The following is a 24,665-nucleotide window of genomic DNA, read 5'->3' on the forward strand; positions in this document are numbered from 1 at the left end:
AGCTGGAAGAGGAATGCCTTCCTGGGGCGGACAAGAACCTCAGAGCCTGGAGGGGCCACAGAGAGAGAAGTTCACCCAAAGCGAGCTGGGCAGGTGCCCAGCAATGGGGTCAGAAGGCCGGTTCTTCGTTTTCCCTGAAATACCAAGGACTCATTCCCGGTTTGTTTCTCGGGCTTTGGCTGGAAAAGGCAGAATCTGCAGCTTCTAAGCAGGCTTTGAGTTCTGAATGAATCTTTTAATTAACACAACTGTTCTACTAATTGATCCTAGACTCATTTTAAAGTTGAAAGGTGGGGATACCAGCTGCTGAGTGGGTAATTGTACCATCTGCAACTTTGCTGATAAATTTTGGGCAGATTAATCCTGCCAGCCCAAGTTAGCGTTGGCAGAAGGAAACTGGATGAGTGGGGCAAAGCAAAAAGCAAAAGCAGCCATGCGGGGAGGTGCTGAGAGGGGAGGGCTGAGCCTTATGGAGTAAGGTGGGCTTTTCATTTTTAAAGAATTGCTCGAAATCTCTTATCCTCAAGTTACATCATTATCACATACATGATGATAGTCCACATTGCAAAGCAAACACTGTGATGGATTCACGTTTCAAAAAATAAAACAGTTTAACTACATGTACTTGTGGTTTGAAAAAAAGTCACCATGTCTTTTTCATTCTTGGGCATACCTTGATTTATCTTTAAATAGCGTGGAAACCTTCATTTCAAACGTGTTAATGTGATTGCCCGCCTGAAAACTGTAAGAGAATGTCTATAAATCATGAAAGAGAGAAAACCGGAAGTGATAGTTTTCAAATATTAAATATATGTTTAGATTAGTAGCATTTCTATTTATAAACCTCAACCAGTTTGAATACACGGCAGACAACAATCCCATTCCCAATGAAACACAAAAGATTAACATACCCAGAAATAAATTTAAGAAGTGTAGATGACTTATTTAAAAAAATAAAATAAGGCTGGGCGCAGTGGCTCACGCCTGTAATCCCAGCACTTTGGGAGGCCGAGGCAGGCCGATCACGAGGTCAGGAGATCTAGACCATCCTGGCTAACACGGTGAAACCCCGTCTCTACTGAAAAATACAAAAAATTAGTTGGGCATGGTGGCATGCGCCTCTAATCCCAGCTACTCGGGAGGCTAAGGCAGGAGAATCGCTTGAACCCAGGAGGCGGAGGTTGCAGTGAGCCGAGATCGCATCACTATACTCCAGCCTGGGTGACAGAGTGAGACTCCGTCTCAAAAAAAAAAAAAAAAAAAAGGTAAAGGAAATAACATGGCTGATGGCGAGTTATTTACCCACATCCACCAAAGCAAAAATGTAGCTGGTTGACAAAATCAAGTCATTGAGAAATAAACTTTAATAGACAAAAATATGTGGTATATATACAGTGAGATTCACTTGATTTTTTTTCTTTTTGAGATGGATTCTTGCTTTGTCACCCAAGCTGTAGTGCAGTGGTACCTCCCGAGTAGCTGGGATTACAGGCATGCACCACCATGCCTAACTAATTTTTGTATTTTTAGTAGAGACAGAGTTTCACCATGTTGGCCAGGCTGGTCTCAAACTCCTGACCTCAGGTGATCCACCTGCCTCCGCCTCCCAAAGTGCTGGGATCACAGGTGTGAGCCACCGCGCCCGGCCGACATTCACTTTTGAGCAGACCACTCACTATTCAAAATAATATAAACGTGTACTAGAGTAGTATTTTCTCGTGAAAACATTTCCGTGGAGTGGAGTCATTTATTCACGTTTGCTTGCTGACTCATCTTCCCTTCGCTGCCAGTTAGGACTGCAGCCTTCGTGAGTCCCAGAGCCCAGAGGAAAGGAGGCGAAGCTCCCGAAGGCACTGGTGAAACGCCGACATTCCTGTGGGTGTCTTCCTTTTAAAACAACGTAAGGATGCTTTCAAAGTCTTCTGAAGATTTGAGCAATGGACAACAGAGATGAATCTTTATGAAGCTTAATTATTAAATACAGAGTTGCAAAATAGAAGTGACAGCTGAGTAGAGAACCTCTGAAAAGTGATCCCCTGCACTAGCAATGTTGATCATGGGAGCTGGATGGCCTTCCCTTAAAACTTTTTGTTTGTTTGTTTGTTTGAGACGGAGTCTCGCTCTGTTGCCCAGGCTGGAGTGCAGAGGCACGATATCGGCTCACTGCAAGCTCCGCCTCCTGGGTTGAAGTGATTCTCCTGCCTCAGCCTCCCGAGTAGCTGGGATCACAGATGTGTGTTACCATGCCTGGCTAATTTTTGTAGTTTTAGTAGAGACAGGGTTTCTCCATGTTGGTCAGGCTGATCTTGAACTCCTGACCTCAGGTGATCCACCGCCTCAGTCTCCCAAAGTGCTGGGATTACAGGCGTGAGCCCCTGCGCCCGGCCCTTTCCTAAGACTTGGTCATTAGAAGAAAATCTTGCCTGACCCTTGAAACAGGCTGAAAGAATGCCAGAAGCTCTGACAACTTCAAAGAGCATTGCCAAGACAGACACAGATTTTCCTTGTCTGTTTTTGCTGATGTTGTTTTGCTCATGGTTTGGGCTATTTGTCCTTTTGGCCACAAGGTTTAGCCCCTCACCGTGTCCTGGCAGGGGCTGCATTGCCCGAGCGGGGAGTCTACCACAGAGAGCGCACTGGCGTCCCTCTGGCTTACCCTCCTGACTCACGGTACGCACGTACATTTCGTGTCAATAATCTGGTGCTGTCAACCACCTGTCCCAGCCAAAAGAGAGGGACTCACTGCTTTACCGACCGTAAAGAACAGGCGCCCTGTTCCCTCACCCGTATCTGACTGGAGACGCAAACCTATGGCTTTTGCCATGAGGAATCCGAAGTCACAATTTCTTTTCCTTCAAAGTCAGGTGGAATGACAACAGTGACCCCCCGCCCCCCGGGGCCATGGGAAGTGTCAGGGTCACATGGGTTGAGTGTGTCTGGCTGGGGACACCCAGGTTCAAAGCAGGGCTGGGCAGGGTTGACCTCAAACCTGTCGGGGGCAAAGATGGCCATGGATTTTATGGTGCTGATCAAGAACCAACCAAAAGGAAGAGCTGTGGGTGTCCTATGAGGGCAGAGGGGGAACCCTGCAGAAACCGAGGGTCCAGCTGCTGCTGGTGCTTCCCAGGGGCTTCCCTTTCTCACTGTCGGGACTTTTGAAACGTGCATAGATGTGTACAGAGCCCCTGACTAGTGATTTGCTTCCAGGGAAGATCATATTTCATTTGGTGGAGCAGGGAGGCAGGTCGCGAGCTGCCTTTGCTCTTGCCCTGTGTGCAGGGCTGCTCCTAGGCTGGGAACCTGGGGGTCCCTCCGTCCACATGGGAGGCTGCTGTGTGCCAGGTCCTGCTCCAGGCTCCTCCCCCAAGATGCTCCGTTTCTGCAGGTTCTAGGATGACGATGAAACAAAGTGTCCAATCTGCACAGGAACCAGAGAAGCAGCTGCAGACCTTGCTATTGTGTTTCCAGATGTTTGACCCTTGGAGTGATTTCTCTAAAGAATGAGCTGTGCGGGTCTGAATGCAGCTGTTTTCTGAGATGTTGCTCAACAATTCCTTATGCGAAATCTTGGAGCCAGATGTAATTCAGAATTCAGTTTTTCTTCCCTTCGGATTTTAGAAAGAGGGTAGCTTGCATATCCCACCTGTTACGCAGCCTCAGCAGCACGTATGTCCGCACGTTTCGATGTTTCCAAAGCAGCACACGTGGACAACCACACTCAGTGCAGGCGCAAAGACACGATTTTTCCTTACTTCAGGTTATGTCAACAAATAAAACAATTTTTGTGTTTAGAGGATTTTGATTTACATTATTATATGTAAGAATTGTAGATGTAATCATTTCTTTTTTCAAGTTTATTTTATTTTTGAGACAGAGTCGTGCTCTGTCACCCAGGCTGGAGTGCAATGGTGCCATCTTGGCTCACCGCAATCTCCGCGCCACCCCGCCCACCCCTCGCCCCGGGTTCAAGCAATTCTCCTGCCTCAGCCTCCCAAGTAGCTGGGATTACAGGAACGCACCACCACGCCCAGCTAATTTTGTATTTTTAGTAGAGATGGGGTTTCTCCATGTTGGTCAGGCTGGTCTCAAACTCTCAACCTCAGGTGATCCACCTGCCTCGGCCTCCCAAAGTGCTGGGATTACAGGCGTGAGCCACCATGCCTGGCCTATTCATGGTGTTTTTCAAAGAGTATAGTTTTAAAATTTTGATGAAGTGCACTTTATTCATTTTTTTTCTTTTATGTTAGTGTTTTCTGATGTCTTTTCTAACAAATCTTTGCCTGCCCAAAAGTCTCAAAAACATTCTCACGTTTCTAGATTTTTAGCTTTAGCTTTTGTGTTTGGGACTATGATCCATATTTAGTGAATTTTATTTTTGGGGGGGCAGAGTCCATGTTGCCCAAACTGGTCTGGAACCACCACACCCAGCTAATTTTTGTGAATTGCGGGTACATCAAGGTTCACTTTGTTCCACATGGATTTACAGTGACCCCAGCACCGTTTGTTACAAAGACTGCTCTTTTCCCACTGAATTGAAACCTTTGTTGAAATCAGTTTGGTCTGCTTTTGGCTTCTCTATTCTGTTCCATTGATCTGCGTGTGTGCCTACCATTATGCCAGCACAAACCCTCTCAACTGCAGCTGTGTAAGTCCTGAAATCAGGTAGTTTATCTCATCTTTGTTCTTTTTTAAAACTTTTTTAGCTATTCTAGGACCTTTCCATTTCCATCTACATTTTAGAATTAACCTGTCATTTCTAAAGAAAAAGAAGGAGGAGGAGGAGGAGGAGGAGGAAGCTGAGATTATGTTAAACCTATAGAACAATTGAGGAAAACTGACATCTTAACATCACTGAGTCTTCCAATCTGTGAACATGGTTTATCTCCATTTACTTAGATACTTAAGTTTTAACCTGCCATGTTCTGTAGATTTTGTAAAAGTCTCGTATATCTTATATTACACTTATTCCTATTTTAAATTTTATGCTATTATAAATGAAAATTATTTAAAACTTTATTTTCCAATGCTGATTTCTAATATACAACAATACATTTTTTAAAATATTGATTTGTACTCCATGACCTTGTTAAATTCACTTATCCAGTAGTATGTATGTTTTGCAGGTCTCTTAGGATAGTCTATGCATATCATCCTGTTGCTGAAAACAAAGGCAGTTTTATTTTTTTCCTTTCCAATCTGTACGACTTTTATTTCTTTCTCTCATTTTATTGTACAGACTGGGACCTTAGTACAATGTCAAGTAGAATACAAGGGGTGACAGCAGACATCCTTGCCTTGTTCGTAACCTTGGGGGCAAGTGTTCAATCGTTCGGCACTAACCGTGTTATCTGTAATTTTTCAATAGATGCATTTCATCAGATTTAAGAAGTCCCCTTTATTTTTAGTTCATGAAGAGTGTTTATCGTAAGAGGATATGGAATTTTGTCAAGTGCGCTTCTATATCTATTGACCTGATCATATTTTTTCTTAATCTATTAATACGATATATTAAATTGATTTTCGGATCTCAATCCAATCTTATCTTCCTTGGATAACATATTTGGGCATGAGGTATTATTCTTTTTGCATATTGACAAGATTTACCAACATTTTCCTGAGGATTTCGGCGATAGTGTTCATCAGGAATATTGGTGTTTACATTTCTTGTATTGTCTTTGTCTAATTTTGGGATTAGAGAAATCTAACTTCACTGACTGAATGGGAAATAGTCCACCCCTCCCCCAAATCTCTGGAAGGGTTTGTCTAGAACTGTTACTATTTATTCCTCAAATGTTTGACAGAATTCACCAGTGGAGCCATCTGGGCCTAAAATTTTCCCTGTGAGAAGATTTTAAATCATAGATTCAAAATTTTTAATAGATAGAGTGCTATTCAGAGCAGCTATTTCTTCTTGAATGAGTTTCTGTAGTTTGTGTCTTTCAGGAAATTGGTCCTTCTAATCTGAATTGTTGGTATGTCAACACAAAGTTGTTTATTCTCTTACTACCTTTTAAAGTGTGTAGGGTCTGTAGTAATGTCTCCTTTCTCATTCCTTACACATATTAGTAACTTATGTCTCTGTTTTGGCCTTTCTGCATCACCCTCATCATTCTAGATATTGGTTTCATTCATCAATTAAATTTTTTTTTTTTTTTTTTTTTTTTTTTTGGAGACAGGGTCTCACTTTGCAGCCCAGGCTGGCGTGCAGTGGCACAATCATGGCTCACTGCAGCCTCTACCTCCCAGACTCAGGTGATCCTCCCACTTCAGCCTCCTGAGTAGCTGGGTTTAGAAGTGCATGCTACCATGCCTAATTTTTGTATTTTTTGTAGAGACAGAGTTTCGTCATGTTGCTCAGGCTAGTCTCAAACTCCTGGGCTTAAGTGATCTGCCTGCCTGACCTCCCAAAGTGCTAGGATTCCAGGCTTAAGCCACTGCACCTGGCCTGGTTTTTTAATTTTATTGATTATTTTAAATAACCAGCTTTTAGGTTTTATTTATTTCCTGTCTTGTTTGCTTCCTACTTCATTGATTACACTCTTGACTTTATTATTTCCTCTTTTGTACTGAGTTTGGGTTTAATTTGCTTTATTTTTATAGCTTATTAATTTGGAACTGTAGGACATTTATTTTACACTTTTTCTTCTTCTCTAAATAAGCCTTTAAAGCTATATATCTTCCTCTAAGCACTGCTTTACCTGCATCTTATACATTTTGTGTTTTCATGCTCTTTATTTGTACCCTTTAAAACATTTTAATTCTTGGAAACTATACTGAGAAAAGAATCCTAAGACCTAAAAATGCTTAAGTACAAAGATGTTCATCCTGCCATTTTTCTAATCATGCAGCATTGAAAACAACCTTAACTTACAACAATACGGTGTTATCAGTTAGGTAAACCACCACGTCTATCAGCTGACTACTACATAGGCATTAAAAACATTTAGAGTTTTCAGTTGAATGAGAAAGGATGTATGTTCTAATGTCGGCTTTTTAAAAAAGGCATCACAGTTGTGTATACGGAATGATCCGAGTGCTCACTACAGAGCTAAGCATAAATGAAACTCGACAGAAATATTATCAAAATAGTGACAGTGCTTGGTATATTTGGAGTGAAGTTGTGAGTGAACATTCTTCCCTGAATACCCTGTACCCTGCTCTGTAGTTGTAAAATGTTGAGCAGATGACTTCTACATGGAAAAGTTTAAAGGCTCATCATGCTACGATGAGCATGTGACTTTTACAAGGAAACATGCAGGAGGCTGGCATGATGTCATGTGATCTGAATGACCCTGCACCTGCTTCGAGCCTGCTCCTGCTGCTGGAATGCCAGCTTCTTGAGGACAATGTCTTTCTGTTTTGTTTTTCACCGTCTCATCCCTGGTGTCTAGAACAGCGCATAGCACAGAGAATGCATTAAATAAATTAAATGCATGCGTGTATGGAGGTTAAGCCACACAGCGCTGCCTGGGCCAGCTGGCTTGGGGTCCTGATTGGGCTCTGTTCTTCGCTAGGTATCCTAGAGGCTGTGTGAGGTTGGTAAACTTCTTAATTCTACAGCCTTGCTTTCCTTATATGTAAAACAGACATACATACCTTGTAAGACCTTTGTGAGGATTAGAAATAGGAAATGTAAACCCCTCACACACAATTGGTTCCTGAAAAATGATAACTGTTACTAAGCTGATTAATGAGGAAAGTATCCCCATAATTCAACAGCTCCCTTTCTAGATGAATTCTGGGTGACGTCAGAGCTTACTAATGGCAAAATACCTCTGCCTAAAGTGACCAGGTCTAGCCACTCCCAAAGAGGACAGGACCCTGGATTCCTTTCACTGTGCACCTAGCCAGGCTCTGTCTGCAGACAATTATCTTGAGTGAGTCACTTAACCTCAGTGTTTTTATATGCAATGGAGTAAGTCTGACCCACCCGGCAGGAGTACTGAAGAGCGATGATTATTAGACGCTAGAAATGCACTTTACGGCTGCGCAGTGCTAGACGCAGACATGCCGCAGGGCACCTTCTGAATCTGCTGTGGACATGCATGAGGGATGCTGGCTGGAAGCCTCTGATAACTATGAATCCATAAGCAAATTGGTTACTGTCTTAAACGAAGTAACAATGTGATATTTAGTGCTGTCCTTTTTAAAAAGCTCGCAATATATTGTTGTCTAATAAAAGTCTTGGGCCGAATTTCCCTCCTGGGAGAACAAGAGCTTTGGGCCAAGTGGCTGACCAGGTTGAAGAGGGTTGGCAGCTGCTGAGGAATTCATCCATGGTAGGAGGAGGAAAATCGGGCAGGCTCTGCTCCCCATCTCCCTCTCTGCTCCTTGCAGACTAGGTGGGCCCAGGATCTCCTTAAGCCAGGTAAGTAGGTCTTTAGGAAACTCGTTATTATTATTATTTTGGCAAAGGAGCAAATACACGGGGCAATATTTCAAGGGTGAAGAAGGGCACACAAGGGAGAGGCATCCTCCCTCTCACCTGGTTTCATGAGTGTGGCTTTTAACACAGGTGACACAAGTGGCCAATGTCTTTCTGAACATAGGAGAGCCAGGCCCCGGGCACAGTGACAGGTCTGCCATGCCCATGCAGCGGTCGGCATGCTGATATGATCTAAGGTGAGGGCCCAGCCAGGTCAGCCGGGAGAAAGTGAACACAGGAAGGGCACACCCAGGACCCCAGGGCCCCAGAACTCAGGTGAGCATGAAGGGAGCCAGCAGAGGAGACTGGGGGTGGTCAGCGCAGTTGGGAGGGAAGAGCAGGAATGCCACAGATGCCAGGGCAAGGCTCACTTCCAAGAGGCAGCCAGTGGTCAACCGTATTGGAAGGTCAGCTGCAATCAGGCCTGGGGGGCTGGCCCTTGAATTAGGATGCCCCATGGGGTGTGGGCATGAGAAGCACAATTCGAGGGCCTGGACAAGAGTGGTCCATTGGCATGCGGGGCAGAGATGGGCAGACTTTTAGGACAAGGTTTGCAGCAAGGAGAGCAGAGAGGGGGGAGGAAAATGGAGGGGCACAGGCTGGAGGCTTCCAGAGATCTGAGAGACCGCAGCATGCTTGTGAACTGCCGACGTGACCCAGGAGGGGGTGGCCTTGGGCGGGGACAGGCACCTCATTCCATGTAGCAGCATGGAGGATGTGCAGGACAGACACCAGATGCTGGATGTGTTGACTTAGTGGCGTGATCACAGTCAGAATCCAAATGGAGTCACTGGTATTAAAAACCCTGACATATAGACTGTGGAAGGGCATGAAGGGAGGGTTCTTATGCAGACATGCTTGATAGCAAGAACAATCACAAAAGACTGCAAAAATCACAGCCGTGCACAAAGACCATCACAACTTACACACACAAACACTTCTGGGAAGACATCTGCCCAGTAGCTGCCTGTCCAGCCTCAGACTGGCACCATCCTTCCTGGAGATCCTTGTAGCCAAGGATCATTGATTCAAAACAATGATGTAATCCTCCTGTTTCCTTTGAAAATCTTTGTCTTCCTTTACCTTCCTTGACCCACACCCAATTTACGATGGCACACATATTCTATTGCAATGAATGTTCCCGAGTAAATCTCATTTTCTTTTAGAGAGCCTCTCTCTGTTATTTAGGGTGACAGTGGGAAAATCCCAGACTGCAAATCCTTCCTCAACAAAGGGCAAACGTTTCCTCCAGGGAGCGTAGTTGGTGGTTAGAGAAGGGGAAGGCTGCAGTGGCCTCTTGGAGTGGTGGAGTGCACATGCGCAGAGCCAGGAGGCCTAGTGCTCAACGTGGGTGTGCCTGAGACCTGGGAGATGCCAGGGGCATGGAAATAAGGTGTTGTCTAGTTTTTCCCCCAATTTAGTTTTCTCTAATTTGGGCGCAGGTTCACTGTAAGCAAGTAAATCAGTCCTGGGGGCCAGCTGGGTGAGTGCTGGGGGGCAGGGAGAGGGGAGGGAGTGGGTACACAAAGTGATTCTACCCTCAGAGAGAAGCAGAGTAAGGCAGGAAGAAGAGGTGTGCACATGCGTGGTCATGTGTGCACGTGTGCATGTTCGTGCATGCGCATGTGCAGATGTGTGTGCGTGCAAGTGCATGCGTGTGCATGTGTTTCTGTGTGGGTGTGCACGTGTGGCGGTGGCTAACGAAGGCATGGGAGCAGCATGGGCTGTAGGTTTCCATGAGGTCCCACGGAAGTGAAACCAAAGGAGAGGAGGTGGTGGGGAGGGCAAGGTGCCTGGATTCGGCCTTGGTGTGGTCATTGGTGATGAGAACATCCAGGCTATGCCCAGGGCCGTGGATGCAGAAGTGGGAGGTCCAGGCCGCACCCCCTTGGGTTCTGGAGGTTCTGGTAATGAGCACGGAATATAGGAGGCAGGAGAACTGTGAGGGGCTGAACCTGTGGTGGGTGAGGGGTGCATGGGAAAGAGGAGGTGGCTGCCTGGAGGAAGGGCAGAGGCCAACGTCCAGGCATGGCAGGAGCTGGCTGGCGAGGAGAGGAGGAGGGGGGAGCAGGGAGGGCACAAGGGGTGGGGGACGCTGCCTCAGCCGGGTGTGAGGGCACAGCCTGCGGGGAGAAGTGAGGAGGCAATGTCCCTTCTCAGAAAGCACGTTCCAGGGATCAGTGACACCCCCACATTTGGTTTCTACTAAGGGTACCCTTAGCATGTGCTGATTTTGTTAAAAAGAAAAATAAGCGACTACATCAGTCAGCTTCAGCTGCTGTAGCGAAATATCACAGGCTGGGAGGCTGAAACAAGACTTTTACTTCTCACAGTTCTGGGGGCTGGAAATCCAAGATCAAGTTCCAGCAGCGTTGGATTTCTGGTGCAGGGTTTGTGGCTGGCTGGGGTGAAGCTTCCCACTGTGCACTCACACTGCCACTTCTTTTGCACATGTAAGGGTGGGGACAGCACTGAGCCCTTTCTATTAAACACTAGCCCTATTGCACGACTTAACATTAAACACCAGCCCTACTGCACGACTTAACATTAATTACCCCCGCTAGCCCACCTCCGAATACAGTCACATTGGAGGTTAGGGCTTCAACCCATGAATTTGCGGGGTGGGGTGGGGTGGGGCGGGCGGAATTCAGTCTGTAGCAGGCACCTACTGACTAAAGTAGACATTGGTTTATACATCAAATGGATTTTGCTGGAGTCCTGCTCAGCGGTGGCCGTAAGGAGGAACCCTGGGGGTGTTAACACAAGCCAGTGATGCGGCCTCAGCACAGGCCTGGGGCCCGAGCCTGCAGCACCATTCCTGCCGCCCCGCCCTGGCAGCAGGTGTCTTCCTAGAACAGAACAAGCCCCTTTTGATGTCATTGGGCATTGCCTTGGCGGTTTACTCAGAAGCTGGAGGCTAGCCTCGCTAGAGCCCATTGCCAGGCCCTGACCGCCCCTAAATCTGTGTCCACAAAATCCTCCGGAGTGCCTGCTCCGCATGGTGGCCACTGGCCACACAGGGCTGCTGAGCACTGGAAGCGGCCTTGTGAGCTGCTGCCAAGAGGCAGGTGCCCGTGCAAAGCCTTCCTGTGAAGGAATCTCACTGAGGTTGTTAAATTCTGGTTACATGTTGAATGATGTATCTATCTATTGGGTTAAGTAAAACGTATTGTTAACTTTGGCTATTACTTGTTACCTTTAAAAAATGTAGCTACTGGAAGCTTTAAGATGACAAATGTGGTTCTCCTCCTCCATCTACAGGCATGTCCCGGTTCACGGCGGCTGTGTCCCCGCGGCCTCAGACCCAGGGTCCAGCCCATGCTCTGGCCCCTCCGGCGGCCAGGATCAGCATCGCTGCCCCGGGGCCCGCGCCGAGCCGGCTGCTCCTCCGTGCTCTGCGCTCCTGGGCCCGCACCAGCCCCCTCCCCTGGAGCCCCCTTCGTCCCTGCGAGGGTTCCCTGCACGCCCCGCGCTGAGACCCAGCCTGGCCCGGGCCGGAGCCCTCCGCGACGTCAGGATGCGCCTGGCCTCACGCCGCCTCCCCTCCGTCTTCTCTGGGCCGCAGCCGCTCCTCGTGAGTGAGGTCGCGGCCAGGGAGCCGGGTGGACGCGCCGGGAAGCTGCACGGTCCACGCTCCGTCTGCGCGGAGAGCCGGGCGCGCGTGGCCCGGCCCCTGCAGGCGCGACTGCCGCCGCCCCGGTGGGCTCCCCTCCCCCGCACGCCCGGCACGCGGCTGGACGACTGCGGCCGCGCGGGGGCTGGAACATCCCCTCAGAGCCGCAAGAGAGCGCACCCGCCGCCGGCGCCCGGAACCCAGGGCCCCTTTAAGAGGCGCCGCCGGAGCAGGGCCGTGACGTCATAGAAGTGCGAAGGGCGGAGTCTGTGCGCAGCCGCGGCGCGGGGGGCGGGGCGGGGGCGCGGCGTTCTTGCGGGCCTGACTGACAGGAGCGCCCTCCGGGAGCGACCAGTACTAGGCCGCCGGTCGCAAGAGCGCCCCGCGTAGGCCCCGCCCCGAAAGGAGGCCCCGCCCCGGGGCAGGCCCCGCCTCCACAAGGACACCAAGTCCCGCACAAGCCACGCCCCCCGCAGGCCCCGCCCCACTCTGTTCAGATCTAGGCCCAACTCAGGCTCCGCACCTCAAGGCTCCGCCCCCAGCAAGGCTCCGCCCCAGGCCCGGCTCCACCCCGCACAGGCCCCACCCCGAGTCAGGCTCCGCCCCGCCCAGGCCCCGCCCCGGGCTCGGCTCCGCGGGGCGGGACTTGCCCTCAGCCTGAGTCGGCGGCGGCTGCGGGAACTTTCCCAGCGGATCTAATGGCTGCGCGCGGGCCGCTGTGAGGCGCGGCGGCGAGCGACGGGCGCGGGGCCGCGGAGCAGCGAGCGAGCGAGCGAGCGCGAGGCCGGAGCCCCGGCCAGGCCCGGCCGACCCGCCGAGCCCGCGATGCGCCCCGGGGCCGCCCCCCGGCGCAGCTGACGCCCCGCGGCCCCGCGAAGACCCCGGCCGGCCGGTCCCGGAGGAAGCGGCCGCCGCCGCCGCCGCCCAGCCCAGCGCCCGCGCCGCCCGGGCACCATGGCGGGGAAGGCGGCCGCCCCGGGCACCGCGGTGCTGCTGGTCACGGCCAACGTGGGCTCGCTCTTCGACGACGTAAGTCCCCCGTGCCGGCGGCAGGCCCCAAGCCCGGAACCCCCGACCCTGACCCCGGGGTCCCGAACTGCAAGCCTTGGACCCTGGACCGTGAACCTCCAGACCCAGAGGCCCCAGACTCTGATCCCTGTACCCGGGACCCCAGACTCCTGTCCTGATTCCCAAGTCTGGGAGCCCAGACCCCTGTCTTGATCCCCAAGCCCGAGACCTGAAGACCTGGGCCCTGAATCCCCGAACCCCATCCTCCAGACTCCAGCAGCTGACCGTTGACCCTGGGACCCTGCCTCTGAACTCCTGTCTGCAAATCCTGACCTCGAAACTCCAATATTAAAACCCTGTCAGAACCCCTGTTAACAGTTCCTGGAACCCAAACCCCAGAAACCGGGTCTGTGCGCACCAAACCCAGCCCCAGCCCTGATTTCCGAATCCTCAGAACCCTGGCCCTGGAATGCCCATCCCCAACCCTGGCCCTGAACCCCAGGTCCATGGTCACTGGAACCACAAATCCTGACTGCAGAACTCTGGTTACAGAACCTGCTCTCAAACGTCTGTCTCTGGTCCCTGAGCCCTGGACCCCAAACCCTGAAACATAACCACAAACCCTAACCCAGGAACTTCTGACACAGGGCTGTGGCCCCAACCTCCTGTCCCTGTTCCCCAATCACTGAATTCTAGCCCTAGAATCCCAGCCTTCATACTGTGGCCCTTTGCCTCTAAAGCCAATCTAGCCTGACTCTGAACCCTGAATTTCAACCTCAGGCCCCAGCTTATGGCCCTGAACACTTGTCCTTGACCCCTGAACCTGGAACCCTGGTTCCAGAATCAGGCCCCAAACCCAATTCTGGACCCTGCCCCTAACTCTGGTTCCTAGATCCCATCCTTGGCCCCTTCCTCCAACAAGCTCCTGCCCCTGAATCCTGAATCCTGAATCCTGGTCTTAAAGCCTGGGCCTTGAGCCTGCAGAATTCCCAAACCCTAACCCTTGACTCCCACCCCTGGCCCCTGTCCTCTGAGCCTAGGCCCTCCACTCTGGCTGTCAGCCCCAGCTCCTGGATGCCTGGGTGCCGGCCTCACTGTCTGTCTGTCCCTGCAGGGCCAGAGGGTAGGGTGCCCCCATTTAACCCTGCCACTTAGTATCTCTTTAGTTCGTAAATAAGGGAAGTCTGTAAAGCACTGTAGGACTTTATATTTCTTGTTTATTGAAGAAAAAGATGCTGAGAAGCTCTTCAGGGCCAGAAAGGGGATGCTGACTGCCTATGGCCTTTACCTTCTAGGGCCCCTCCCACCCAAGCCTCATTCCCACCCAGGATCCCAGGGTGCCCCCATCTCTGGAGAGACCAGGGAGCTGAGGCCCAGGGCGCACTGGGAGCTCCCCAGAGGCAGGCCGGTCTGACCTAGTTTGGCGTTTCAGCCACGGTGCCACCCTGCTGTTGGTACTCCTGCTGCCAACCCAAATAAAGCAGAGTGAGGCTCCAAGTGGCCCAGATGGAGGCCGTGGAGCCACGGACGCTCCCTCCCTCCCTCCCTCCCTCCCTAGGTGAACAGTGGGGCACCGCACCAGCTTTATGACGGATGTGTGCCACTGATGCACGCGTGGTTTCCATTTCAGGAGGAGGTCTTGTGTCTTTGCTGGCAGCAAGCATGGGTGAAGTGTTTGATGAAGCTCAGTTCATGCACAGGCTAGGTTTGGTTTTTATTAACAAAAGGCGCTGTTTTTCTGTTTTTCTTATTTTAACTTCCAGGTGCCCATGTATTATACTGACCTGCTGGGGAGGAACTGGTTTTCCTCACACTTTATTATTAACAACTTCATCTAGGTTTATGTTTGATCATTTTCTACAAAAGTGCCTGGCATGGGTGTGTGTCTGTATATTTGGCGTTCTATTCTAGGCTTTCCAGTAACATGTCACTATAGCATGGTTTTGTTCAGATGATTCAGATCCGTTAGCTGCGGCTTCAAAGCCTCAGAAATGTCAGGAGCATTAAGCTTGCTGGGGCATTTTAGTCTCAAAGGGAAACGAGTTTTACTGTGCAGACATTCTTTCCAGTAATCTTTGATTCTGAGTTCTAGCATTTTTGTTGTGTTTCAATTGTATACACGTATTTATCTCTGTTGATATTAAATTGGGTAACTTAATTCACTTTTGTTTAGCAACCTATTCTCTCTGAATTTTCATTTTTCTTAAAGGCTATGTGGAATTTTGCATTATGTTTATGTTTAGAAGGAACATTTGTTTAGGTCAACAGTACATAGGTTAATTCTGAAAGGTGCATTGTGATTTCAGGGCTGAGTGGAAACTTATCTGTCCGTGTCTGAAGATTTCTTAATGTGTGCAGCTCAGTCCCCGGGGGCCAGACCCAGTCTCCTTCAGTGGAAACCAGCCAGGCACTCACATTCCCAGGCCCCCTTCCTTGGTTGAGGTTTGGGGTGTGGTACTTGTGGGCCAGAAGCCTGGCCGGTGGAAGGAAATTCATGAGTGAAGGAAGTTTTGGTTTCTTGGTTTGTCCTGGATTTCAGGGGACCTGCTTTGAGATTCTGTTTGCCTTTGTGCAGCCCGTCCCGTGCTGACGAACGCACCCTGCAGGCAGTGCTCAGGCTGTGAAGGAATCTTTCTCGCCCAGTCTCACCGTGTTGGAAGCCAAGCTCGTCTGTGACCAGTGCTGGAGCCGGTCACAGTTCCGAGGAGGAAGGTGTTTGAATCTGAAGCAGATATCCCGGACTGTGGCGGACTCTGTTTTCCTTTTGTGCACAAGTGATAGGTGGTTTGCTTTTGCTTTTGCAGTTTTGAAAGTCTCCCCTCTTAAGGCCCCTCCTCCTCCCCCTCTTGTTTTTGTTTTAGACAGGGTCTCATTCTGTCGCCCAGGCTAGAGTGCTGTAGTGGTGCGGTCACAACTCACTGCAGCCTCGACCGCCCTGACTCAGGTGAACCTCAGCATCCTAAGTAGCTGGGACCACAGGCACATGCCACCATGCCTAGCTAATTTTTGTAGAGACCAGGTTTCGCCGTGTTGTCCGGGCTGGTCTGGAACTCCTGGGCCCAAGCAATCCACCTGCCTCGGCTTCCCAAAGTGCTGGGATTACAGGTGTGAGCCACTGTCCCTGGTCCAGAGGTCACCCCTCTCAAAACGCTGCGTGCATCCACTTCAGCTGTGGTTTGTAGCATCCTGGGATCCACACGGAATCTCACTCAGCAGCCCCTGTTTGCTCATCACTACTCCATCTTTGTGACCCCAGATTGGCCATGCTGCGGGCTGCGGGGCTGTCCCCACTGGGGTTGTGTCTGACCCTGTGCAGACAGTGTTGCGGTAAATGCCTTACAGTGTACCGGTCCCCAAGCCCTTATCCCTCACTTTCCTAGAAATTATGGAGGACCCGAAAGAGTTCTTGTTTATGTTGGTTATAACTACCAATATTTCTCATATTGGGAGCTGAGACTGCATGAGAATACATAGCTCACTGCACTAGCTGGCAGAGCGATTACATCATCCCACATCACAGGCACCCCCTCAGGTGTTGGCCGTTCTTCCCTAGGAGACAGTGAGAATGGAAAGAGGAGTCATTTTGTAGTATTATGGAAATAGTGTTGACCTAGTCAACCTGTGAAAAGGCCTCCTCAGCCCAGTCCTCCCTCCCCATACTGTCATGGGCACCCCTGTCTCTGGCCAGGTGGCTGGGGTGCCTGGGACTTTCCCAGGCTTATGCAGACTGCCAGATCACCCTCGGTGAGCCCTGCAGCTGGTCTTTAATTCCTGGATTGGACTCCTGCTGTCACTACTGGTTTGCTTGGAAAGAGGTGACCAGGGGTCCATATTTAATTGTTTTGCTTTGATGTGGCTGGTTTTTTGACAAGTGAGGTTTCTGGCTTTTGGTTCCTTCCATTTTTATGAGAAGGGAATTGAGGAGGTGAATTCTTGCCAGCTGTGGCGTCCCACCCTTGCATGGTCAGGCTGCTGTTTGGTCCTGAGAACACAGCCCGCTGGCGGGTATCTGCCTGGTGGCCCTTCCTGCTGCTTGTTCGCAGCTAAGTCAGTTCTGAGCCAGTTTGCCTTTTTGCTTAGTCAGCTCCCGGGCAGCCCTGTCCCTCTGCCCAGACCCGGGTTTGCAGAACGGCTGTGAGAGTGGGCTCGGCAAGTGCTCGCTGGCAGGGACCTGAGCACCTTGCAGTCAGCAGGTGTTGAAGAGCCCTGGAAGAGCGTGGAGGTGGCGGAGCTGCTGTGGGTATGGAGTCGGTGATGGTCAGTGGTGCAGGCTGGCGTCTCTCTCTGGTAGCATCAGCATTGCCTTCTTTGCCATGTGGTTCCTGGCAACACCAAAGGTACTGCCCTCTCTCCCACCTTGAAAACTCTGAACTCCATGTTTCCTCCAGCCACTGCGGGGCATCCTGACTCTCTACCGTGGCAGCCCTCGAGTGGGGTGGGGGGGTCTCCCCTCCATGTCCTTCTCCAGGCCTCTGCCCCAGCACTCCTGCACAGCAGGGCCCAGGGCTGGGTGCGGGTTGTACCCAGCTGGCAGTGACTAGCCAGAATTTTTGCTCCCTCTGTGGATCCTCCTTCTTCTTCAGGGACGTTTCACTTGGTAATGGCTGTGCTGGGACAGAATTCGCACACCATGCCCCTCACCCATTTCTTTTTCCTTTTCTTTTTTGTTTTCACACAGGGTCTCATTCTGTCACCCAGGCTGGAGTGCGGTGGCTCACTGTAGCCTTGAACTCCTGGGCTGAAGTGAGCTGAAGCCATCCTCCTGCCTCAGCCTTCTAAGTAGCTGGGACCACAGGTGCACGCTACCACACCCAGCTGATTTTTTTATTTTTATTTTTTGTAGAGATGGGGTCTTGCTGTGTTGCCCAGACTGGGCTCAAACTCCTGGGCTCAAGCAGTGCTCTCATCTCTGTCTCCCGGAGTGTTGGAATCACAGGTGTGGGCCCTCACACCCAGCCCTTTCTCCCATATGAGGTGTACAATTCACTGGTTTTCAGTATGTTCACAGGGTGTGCAGCTGTCACCACAGGCAATTGTAGAACATTTTTATCACCTCAAAAAGAAGCTGCATTAGCACCCAAGCCCCACGTCCCCCAGCCTCCCCACCCCCTGCAGTCAGTTTTCCTCTCTGTGGATTTGCCTGTCCCGGGCGTTTCACATACATGGGATCAGACGGTCTGCCCTTTGACCTGACTGCTTTCACTGAGCGTATGTAAAAGTGTCCATGCTGCAGCGTGCGTCAGTCCTGCATTTCTTCCTTTCTTTCTTTTTTCTTTTAAATTACAGAGACGGGGTCTTGCTGTTCACCCAGACTGGAATGCAATGGTGTGATCGCAGCTCACTGTAGCCTTGACCTCCTGGCTTCAAGTGATCCTCCTGCCTTAGCCTCCTGAATAACGGGGACTACAGGCATGCACCACTATGCCCAGCTAATTCTTTTTACTTTTTGAGAAGATGAGGTCTCACTATGCTGCCTAGGCTAGTCTCAAAGTCCTGGCTTCAAGTGATCCCCTGGCCTTGGCCTCCCAAAGTGCTGGGCTTACAGGCATGAGCCACAGTGCCAAGTCTCTTTATTCCTGTTTATGGCTGAATAATATTCCATTGTGTGGATACACCAAGTTTTGTTTCTGTGTTCATCAGCTGGTGGATGTTTGGCCTGTTCCCTCCTTCCGGTTCTGGTGAACAGTGGATGTTTGGCCTATTCCCACCTTTAAGTTCGGGTGAACAGTGGATGTTTGGGCTGTTCCCGCCTTCCGGTTCTGGTGAACAGTGCTGCTGTGTGCATCTTTGCAGGCGTCCCTAGGCGGACATGCGTTCTCAGTGCTGTTGGGTGTGCATAGTCTTGGCATTGCTGGGTGACGTGGTGAGTTCGTATTTAACCCTTGAGGGCCTGTCAGGCAGTCCATGGTGGCTGCCCCATGTCACATCCCTCCCAGGGTTCTGGTTTCTGCACCTCTCAGTGTTGGCGCCCCTGGGCTCAGGCTGGCCACCCTTCTCCCTTCCTGGGACCTCATCTAGACGCACAGCCATAAGTGCCATCTCTGTGTGGGTGCCCACTCCCAGCGAGAAGCGCACAACCAGGATGCTAGCCTGCAGTAGGTGGGGCCCTGCTCTGCCGCTCCGGCCAGAGCAGAGTGCCAGCTCTCAAGGAGGTTGGGGCGTCCTCATTTCGGAGGCAGCTGTCTTCCTACCTGTGTGCCGGGCACAGAGGATGGGGGCGGCCTGTGGTCTGCAGGTGCCCTCCCTGCCCCGGTGCGGCAATGGGCGTGGCTGGAGGTGTCTCAGCAGTCTTTTTTTTTGGGTTGCTGTCTCTGACCCAAGATCTCGGTGCACTTTCCCTGGGAGAATTATGACCTGTTTGCCAGGGCTCATAAGCGGCAGGATCGTCTGTCTGCCGGGCAGGGAGGGTTAAATATGACTGTGGTCCCGGCCCTGGCTGCAGGGTACGGGAGCTGCTTCTGCCACCTCAGGAAACCACGTCTAAATCTTGAACACCTCCTTACCTTAGACAGCATCATTTCGGGTCGGTCCTTGATTTTTAGACTTTTGGAATAAGCCTGGCAGTTCTCCGTTTGCCAGCTCTGCATGCCCCTCTCCCTCCGGCCCTGGCATTTGGGACGCAGCAGGCTGTGCTCTTTGGATTGTTACTGATTCAGCCTTTGAGAACGGCCGGCGGTGTTCTCTCTGCTCACAAACTTTCATCCCCCGTTTACTTCCTGTTTTTTTATCAGTCTCTAGAGTTGCTGAGGAGAGAGTTTAGATCACCCGGGTTAGGGGTGGGGGTGGTGGGACTTCTTTGGTTTGAAATATTAACGATTCCTCATGTTTTGAAGTAAGCACCCAGATCGACCTGTCGGGCAGTGTTGGGAGAATGTCTGCACGTAGGCGTGGTCACGTCCGTCCCTGTTGCCTGCGCTGCTCCGAGAAGCCCCACTCTGACCAGCACCACTGAGGAGTGTCTGTCCGTGTGGAGTTGTGGGGCAGGTGGAGCAGGGCAGAGGGCCCCGCACGGCTCTGGGATGGCTGTGCTCGGTGGGGGTCTGATTTTGGGGGAAGAGGCTGGTACTGGGGTGTTTCCGTGGACTTGTTGGGTCTGATTCAGAAGTTACAGAAATCCAGACCCAGGCCTGCCCCACCGTGAAGCATCAAATTTAGAGCCCCTCTGTCCAGGGGCTAGAGGGGCATTCGGAAGACTTTGACCAGATCGGGGCGGCTGAGGGGGCTGCCTACGGCAGGAGACGGCAGGTCTCTCTGAGCTGTGGGGCTCACGGAGGGACAGCCTCCAGGAAGGTGGCCTCCATCCGGGAATGGGGTCCAGGCGGAGGAGGGTGGGCATCTCTCCACATGCCACTCTGTGCCCCACTGCCCCTGCCGGGGTGTTCCCGCTGTCTCCTGGGCGGGTCCTTCTGATGTGAGTGCACTCCAGTGAAATACCTGTGGGGGCCTTAGGGGAAGAGGGTGCGGAACAGGCAGGCTGTTCCCATGCGGACCTGAAAGTGCTGTCAAGTTCCCCCTTCCTTTGCTCGGTTTCATTAATTGGGATACTTGGGAATCTCAGAGCCCGGTGGGAACCAGGAACTGAGCTCAGAGGCTCTGGAGCCCCAAGTCGCACCCCACCAGGTCTGGTTGGTGCTGCCATGGGCTCAGATCTGGCGTTTTCCAAGCTCCCCCTGCTTTGTGGAGCTCTGAGCGCTGGCTCCAGGCCGGCTTTCAGGAAGGCCGACTGCCTCAATCGTGGTTGCTGCCTCCGCTCGGCCTGAGGTGATGAGAGTGTGGATGGCACCTGCACTGTGTCCACTCTTTAGGCTCTAATGTTCATGGTGTGTTTGGAGACGTGGAAGTGGCTCTGGAGGAGCGTCCACCAGGTCCTGCTTGTGTACGGGGGCCGGCAGCACCGTTGTGTTGGGATGAGTGGCCGAGGCGTCTGGGGACGTCCTGGAGCCTGCAGCCCTTGGCCGTGTCACGCCATGTGCTCATGTGACCGAGGACGCTTCCGAGGATGTGGAAGCCACCAGTCGTCCTGGGTGGGTTGGGGCTGGACACCACTTCTGGGGCAGGTCTAGGGTGATGGCGCTCCCAGCCCGCGGGGGTCTTGGCGTTGGCGCAGAAGTGGTTTCCCAGCGGCGTGCCCTGAGTGTTGGGAAAAGGCCCTCTGCTGCCGCTCCAGGTTCAGAAGATGCCGCTTCTGGTTTTTCCCCGTTGTGAGTGAGAACAGCCCCACCTCCAGGAGCATGGCCTCCGGATCAGCCTGTTACTTGAACCCTGAGCCCCTGGTGGGTCTCGGTGACCTTGAGCCGGTTGTCTTCTTGATCCTTCTCTCCGACAGGAGTGTGAGACTCCTCTTCAGGGGTTGCTGGGGACCAGCTGGTTGCTGTGTCGGGGGGCCGTGCTCCCCCTTCTCTCTTGGAAGGTGTAAGGGCTTAGTAGGGCTGCCTCGGCTGCTGGGGCAGCTTTCCCCGGCCCCTTCCCCGCCTCCTTCCCACTCTGGATTGTCCTGGGCGTCTCTGTGTGGGGTCTCCTGGCTCCTGCAGATCTGTGTAGCCTGCACTGAACTGCCCCTCTTCCTGGGTGCACTGCATACCCCGGGCCCCCTGGGCTCTGGCCTGTCCCCTTGTCCCCACCTGACCGCCCAGCCACTGTTCTCCCTGGCCCTTCCCTCTCGTTTCTGCCTGGGCCTGCCTGGCTGGTCTTGCCTGGCCCTGCTTTTGGTCCTGTAGGCACCAGGACTGCACTCTGGCAGGGGCAGACTCTGTTTCCTGCTCAGCAGAGCCCAGGCCTGGCCCTGGTTAGCAGGCTGTGTCATCTGCCGCAGACAGCCTTCCTTTCTGCGTCCTCCCCTCTCGGGGTCCCGCATGACTGGTCCTCATTCCAGGAACCAGAGGAGATTGAAGAACCCGAGACTTGGCTTTGGCCCAAGTCCCTGTGGAGAGGAAATCCCGCCTTCAGTGCCAGGTGCCAGGCCACAGTCCAGGTTCACGTGGATGCGGGGCAGGCCCCACCTCTCCTCGCATGTGCGGCCTTGGGCTGTGTTTCACCTGTCAGCCTGTCTGTGCCCAGGGAGTAGGAATCCCACCTTGCATGGTGGCTCAGGGTGGTCAGGGAGGGCGTGGCTGTCACATGGTTTCTGGACTGTCAGCCTTTGGGCTGAGTGAGGCGTTACTGCCATCAGGGGTCCCTGGAGGGGCTCTCTCCATCCTCTTCCTGGCGTCAGGTGTTCTCGGCGGCCTCTCGGTAACAGCCTGGCCTTTGCTTCTGTCCGGGGCGCGTGGCCCAGGCTGAGCAGTGCACTCGGCTGCCTAGGTGGTGTGAGGTTCTGTGAGCCCGGGCCCAGCTGCCGTGGTGAATATAACCGGGAGGGAGTGCCCGCCTCTGCCCACCTGCCTGGCATCTGGGGTTCCCGGGAGGCCGGGCACCTGCACCCTCGCCGTCGCCCTGGGCTGACCTCCCATCTCCTCCTTCTCTACCCAAGCGCCCGTGGCCTGAACAGGACTTGGTTTTTCAGGCCTTCATGCCTCAGCTTGAGGGGCTCTTTTTTCAAAGGGTTCCTCCGGGACGCCTCGCCTAGGCAAGCAGGGTTTTCCTCCTTCACGGGACAGCCCGCGTGCCCCCAGCCCTGTGACGCGCTCTTGGTGACTCACCAAGTGAGTCCCAAGCTCCCTTCCTGTCATACTGTGCTTTACCGTGACTGTGGCGTCACACTCAGGTGTGCTGGCCTTTGGCAGCAGCGTCTGGGGTGGGGACCATGGTGTCTTTTTTAATTTTTTTTTTTTTAAGATGGACACTCCATCACCCAGGCTGGAGTACAATGGCGTGATCTCACCTCACTGCGACCTCCGCCTCCCAGGTTCAAGCAGTTCTCCTGCCTCAGCCCCCTTAGTAGCTGGGATTACAGGCGTGCACCACCACACCCGGCTAAATTTTTTTTGTATTTTTAGTAGAGACAGGGTTTCACCGTATTGGCCAGGCTGGTCTTGAACTCCTGACCTTGTGATCTGCCCGCATTATAGGTGTGAGCCATCGTGCCCGGCCATGGTGTCTTTATTCGGGTTCTGCTCAAATGGGTGGAGGGGTGGGGTGGGGCCAATGCAGCTGGAAGGGAGTTGGAGGAGCTGTGGATCCGGTAGTCCCCGGACCGTGGTGGTGTTTGCGGCCACATATGCCATGCTCAGGAGGTCAGTGGGGCCAGGGGAAGGGGTGTTGAAGTCACCAAAGGCCAGGCCAGGCCTCTGCTGCCCGTTGCCGGTGGCCCGGGAGTCGACTCTGCTTCTGCCTCGCACCCGGCCTGGGGGTGTTCCGAGATCTGGTTGGCTTTTGTGTTTGCGCGTTTAACAGTGTTATTTACCCGGGATTTGAATAGCATGCAGTTCACCCAATGTGAGTGTATGGTTCACTGACTTTGAGAAAATATTTATGGTGTGTAACCATCACCGCACCCCAGTTTTGAGACACTTCCCTCCTCAGTCCCTGCTCCCGGCCCTGGGCCACAACTGCTTTCTGTCCCGCCAGTTTCGCCTGCGCCGAGGGCACTGTATCGTGAACCACAGGCTGTGTTGTTTTCATGCGTCTGGTTTCTTTGACTTAGCATAACGCAGCGTTTCAAGGTTTGTATTGATATGCTTTGCATATCAGCAGTTTATCTGGCTTTTTTTTTTTTTTTTTTTTTTTTGAGATAGGGTCTCACTTCCACCTAGGCTGGAGTGCGGTGGCGCAGTCACCACTCACCGAAGCCTCAAACTCCTGGACTCAAGCATTCTTCCTGCTTCAGCCTCCTGAGTAGCTGGGGCCACAGGCGCGGCCACCATGCCAGGCTTTTACAATTTTTTGTAGGTATGGGGTCTCGCTATGTTGCCCAGGCTGGTCTCGAATTCCTGGCCTCAAGTGATCCTCCCACCTTGGCCTCCCAAGGTGCTGGGATGACAGGTGTGAGCCACTGCGCCTGGGCTTGTCTTCCCTGTTTCATGGCTGAGCAGTGTCCCCTGAGTGGAGGCATACCTCGTTTCTCCAGTCGCCCACAGATGGACGTCGGGGCTATCGTGGCTAGTGTACTGTTTGTGAATATGCACGTGCCTGTGTGGACGAGGGTGTCACTGCTCTAGGGCTGGCCGAGTGGTCACTCTGTGGCTGTCTTTCCGGGAGCTGCTCAATTCTTCCCATAGTTGCTGCCCCATTCGTGCCCCGTCGAGTGGTGTGGAAGGACTCTAGCTCTTCTGCATCATGCCAGCACTTGGTGGCATTTGTCTTTTTAATTATGGCTGTGTGGTGGCATCTTGCGGTTTAACTTGCATTTCTGGTCCTACTTCCAAATAATAATTCCCCACAAGGATGGTTATCTTGCCGTGTTGGTAATGGCTTTGACAGCTGGATGACAGACGGTGTTGGCGGGCTGCCCTCTGCCCACCCCTCCAGGAGGGCCTGTGGGATGCGAGGCCTCTGCTACGAGGCTCCCGCTTGCCTGGCAGGTGGCAGGTGTGATGAGCATGGGGAGTGCAGGTGAAGCAGGAGCAGACAGGTGCGTGTCCTGGAGCTCTGCAGCTGCAGGGCGGGAGCCGGGGCTTCCGTGAGGCTCTGTGACACAGGTCGGGGCCACCCAGCCCAGCCTGGGTTCCTGCAGCCCCCACT

At 52.5% G+C, this 24,665-nt stretch overlaps 1 protein-coding gene and 1 long non-coding RNA gene across 7 annotated transcripts in view, besides 10 other annotated features; one reads left to right on the forward strand and one right to left on the reverse strand.

Annotated features, from left to right (window-relative positions):
* Positions 1–11,819, reverse strand: part of LOC107984282 (uncharacterized) — a 28,480-nt gene extending 16,661 nt beyond the window's left edge. The window contains exon 1 of the long non-coding RNA NR_158224.1: positions 11,622–11,819. This is a non-coding gene — a long non-coding RNA (uncharacterized LOC107984282). The remainder of the gene's footprint in view (positions 1–11,621) is intronic.
* Positions 2,682–3,182: an enhancer, noted in NCBI's record as "H3K4me1 hESC enhancer chr10:134341290-134341790 (GRCh37/hg19 assembly coordinates)". NCBI's record gives its function as "activates a minimal SCP1, AML or CMV promoter by ChIP-STARR-seq in naive H9 embryonic stem cells {active_cell/tissue: H9 hESC(naive)}" and the evidence as "EXISTENCE:reporter gene assay evidence [ECO:0000049][PMID:30033119]".
* Positions 11,704–12,803: a silencer, noted in NCBI's record as "silent region_2969". NCBI's record gives its function as "represses an Ori minimal core promoter by ATAC-STARR-seq in GM12878 lymphoblastoid cells {active_cell/tissue: GM12878}" and the evidence as "EXISTENCE:reporter gene assay evidence [ECO:0000049][PMID:35858748]".
* The window catches only part of INPP5A (inositol polyphosphate-5-phosphatase A), a 245,694-nt gene continuing 233,711 nt past the window's right edge, over positions 12,683–24,665 (forward strand). For all 6 annotated transcript variants that reach the window (XR_001747104.2, XR_945735.2, XR_007061963.1 and 3 more), the window contains exon 1: positions 12,683–13,067. Coding sequence is in view for 2 of the 6 variants with exons in the window: in NM_005539.5 (NP_005530.3) it covers positions 12,993–13,067 (75 nt within the window). In the remaining 4 variants the exon portion in view is untranslated. The remainder of the gene's footprint in view (positions 13,068–24,665) is intronic.
* Positions 13,584–13,633: an enhancer, noted in NCBI's record as "active region_4226". NCBI's record gives its function as "activates an Ori minimal core promoter by ATAC-STARR-seq in GM12878 lymphoblastoid cells {active_cell/tissue: GM12878}" and the evidence as "EXISTENCE:reporter gene assay evidence [ECO:0000049][PMID:35858748]".
* Positions 15,640–16,174: an enhancer, noted in NCBI's record as "H3K4me1 hESC enhancer chr10:134354248-134354782 (GRCh37/hg19 assembly coordinates)". NCBI's record gives its function as "activates a minimal SCP1, AML or CMV promoter by ChIP-STARR-seq in naive H9 embryonic stem cells {active_cell/tissue: H9 hESC(naive)}" and the evidence as "EXISTENCE:reporter gene assay evidence [ECO:0000049][PMID:30033119]".
* Positions 16,175–16,709: an enhancer, noted in NCBI's record as "H3K4me1 hESC enhancer chr10:134354783-134355317 (GRCh37/hg19 assembly coordinates)". NCBI's record gives its function as "activates a minimal SCP1, AML or CMV promoter by ChIP-STARR-seq in primed H9 embryonic stem cells {active_cell/tissue: H9 hESC(primed)}" and the evidence as "EXISTENCE:reporter gene assay evidence [ECO:0000049][PMID:30033119]".
* Positions 16,175–16,769: a biological region, named in NCBI's record as "H3K4me1 hESC enhancer GRCh37_chr10:134354783-134355317".
* Positions 16,470–16,629: an enhancer, noted in NCBI's record as "active region_4227". NCBI's record gives its function as "activates an Ori minimal core promoter by ATAC-STARR-seq in GM12878 lymphoblastoid cells {active_cell/tissue: GM12878}" and the evidence as "EXISTENCE:reporter gene assay evidence [ECO:0000049][PMID:35858748]".
* Positions 16,640–16,769: an enhancer, noted in NCBI's record as "active region_4228". NCBI's record gives its function as "activates an Ori minimal core promoter by ATAC-STARR-seq in GM12878 lymphoblastoid cells {active_cell/tissue: GM12878}" and the evidence as "EXISTENCE:reporter gene assay evidence [ECO:0000049][PMID:35858748]".
* Positions 20,281–20,867: an enhancer, noted in NCBI's record as "H3K4me1 hESC enhancer chr10:134358889-134359475 (GRCh37/hg19 assembly coordinates)". NCBI's record gives its function as "activates a minimal SCP1, AML or CMV promoter by ChIP-STARR-seq in primed H9 embryonic stem cells {active_cell/tissue: H9 hESC(primed)}" and the evidence as "EXISTENCE:reporter gene assay evidence [ECO:0000049][PMID:30033119]".
* Positions 20,868–21,455: an enhancer, noted in NCBI's record as "H3K4me1 hESC enhancer chr10:134359476-134360063 (GRCh37/hg19 assembly coordinates)". NCBI's record gives its function as "activates a minimal SCP1, AML or CMV promoter by ChIP-STARR-seq in primed H9 embryonic stem cells {active_cell/tissue: H9 hESC(primed)}" and the evidence as "EXISTENCE:reporter gene assay evidence [ECO:0000049][PMID:30033119]".

Source organism: Homo sapiens, chromosome 10, assembly GCF_000001405.40.
Source record: "Homo sapiens chromosome 10, GRCh38.p14 Primary Assembly".
NCBI classification, from domain to species: domain Eukaryota; kingdom Metazoa; phylum Chordata; class Mammalia; order Primates; family Hominidae; genus Homo; species Homo sapiens.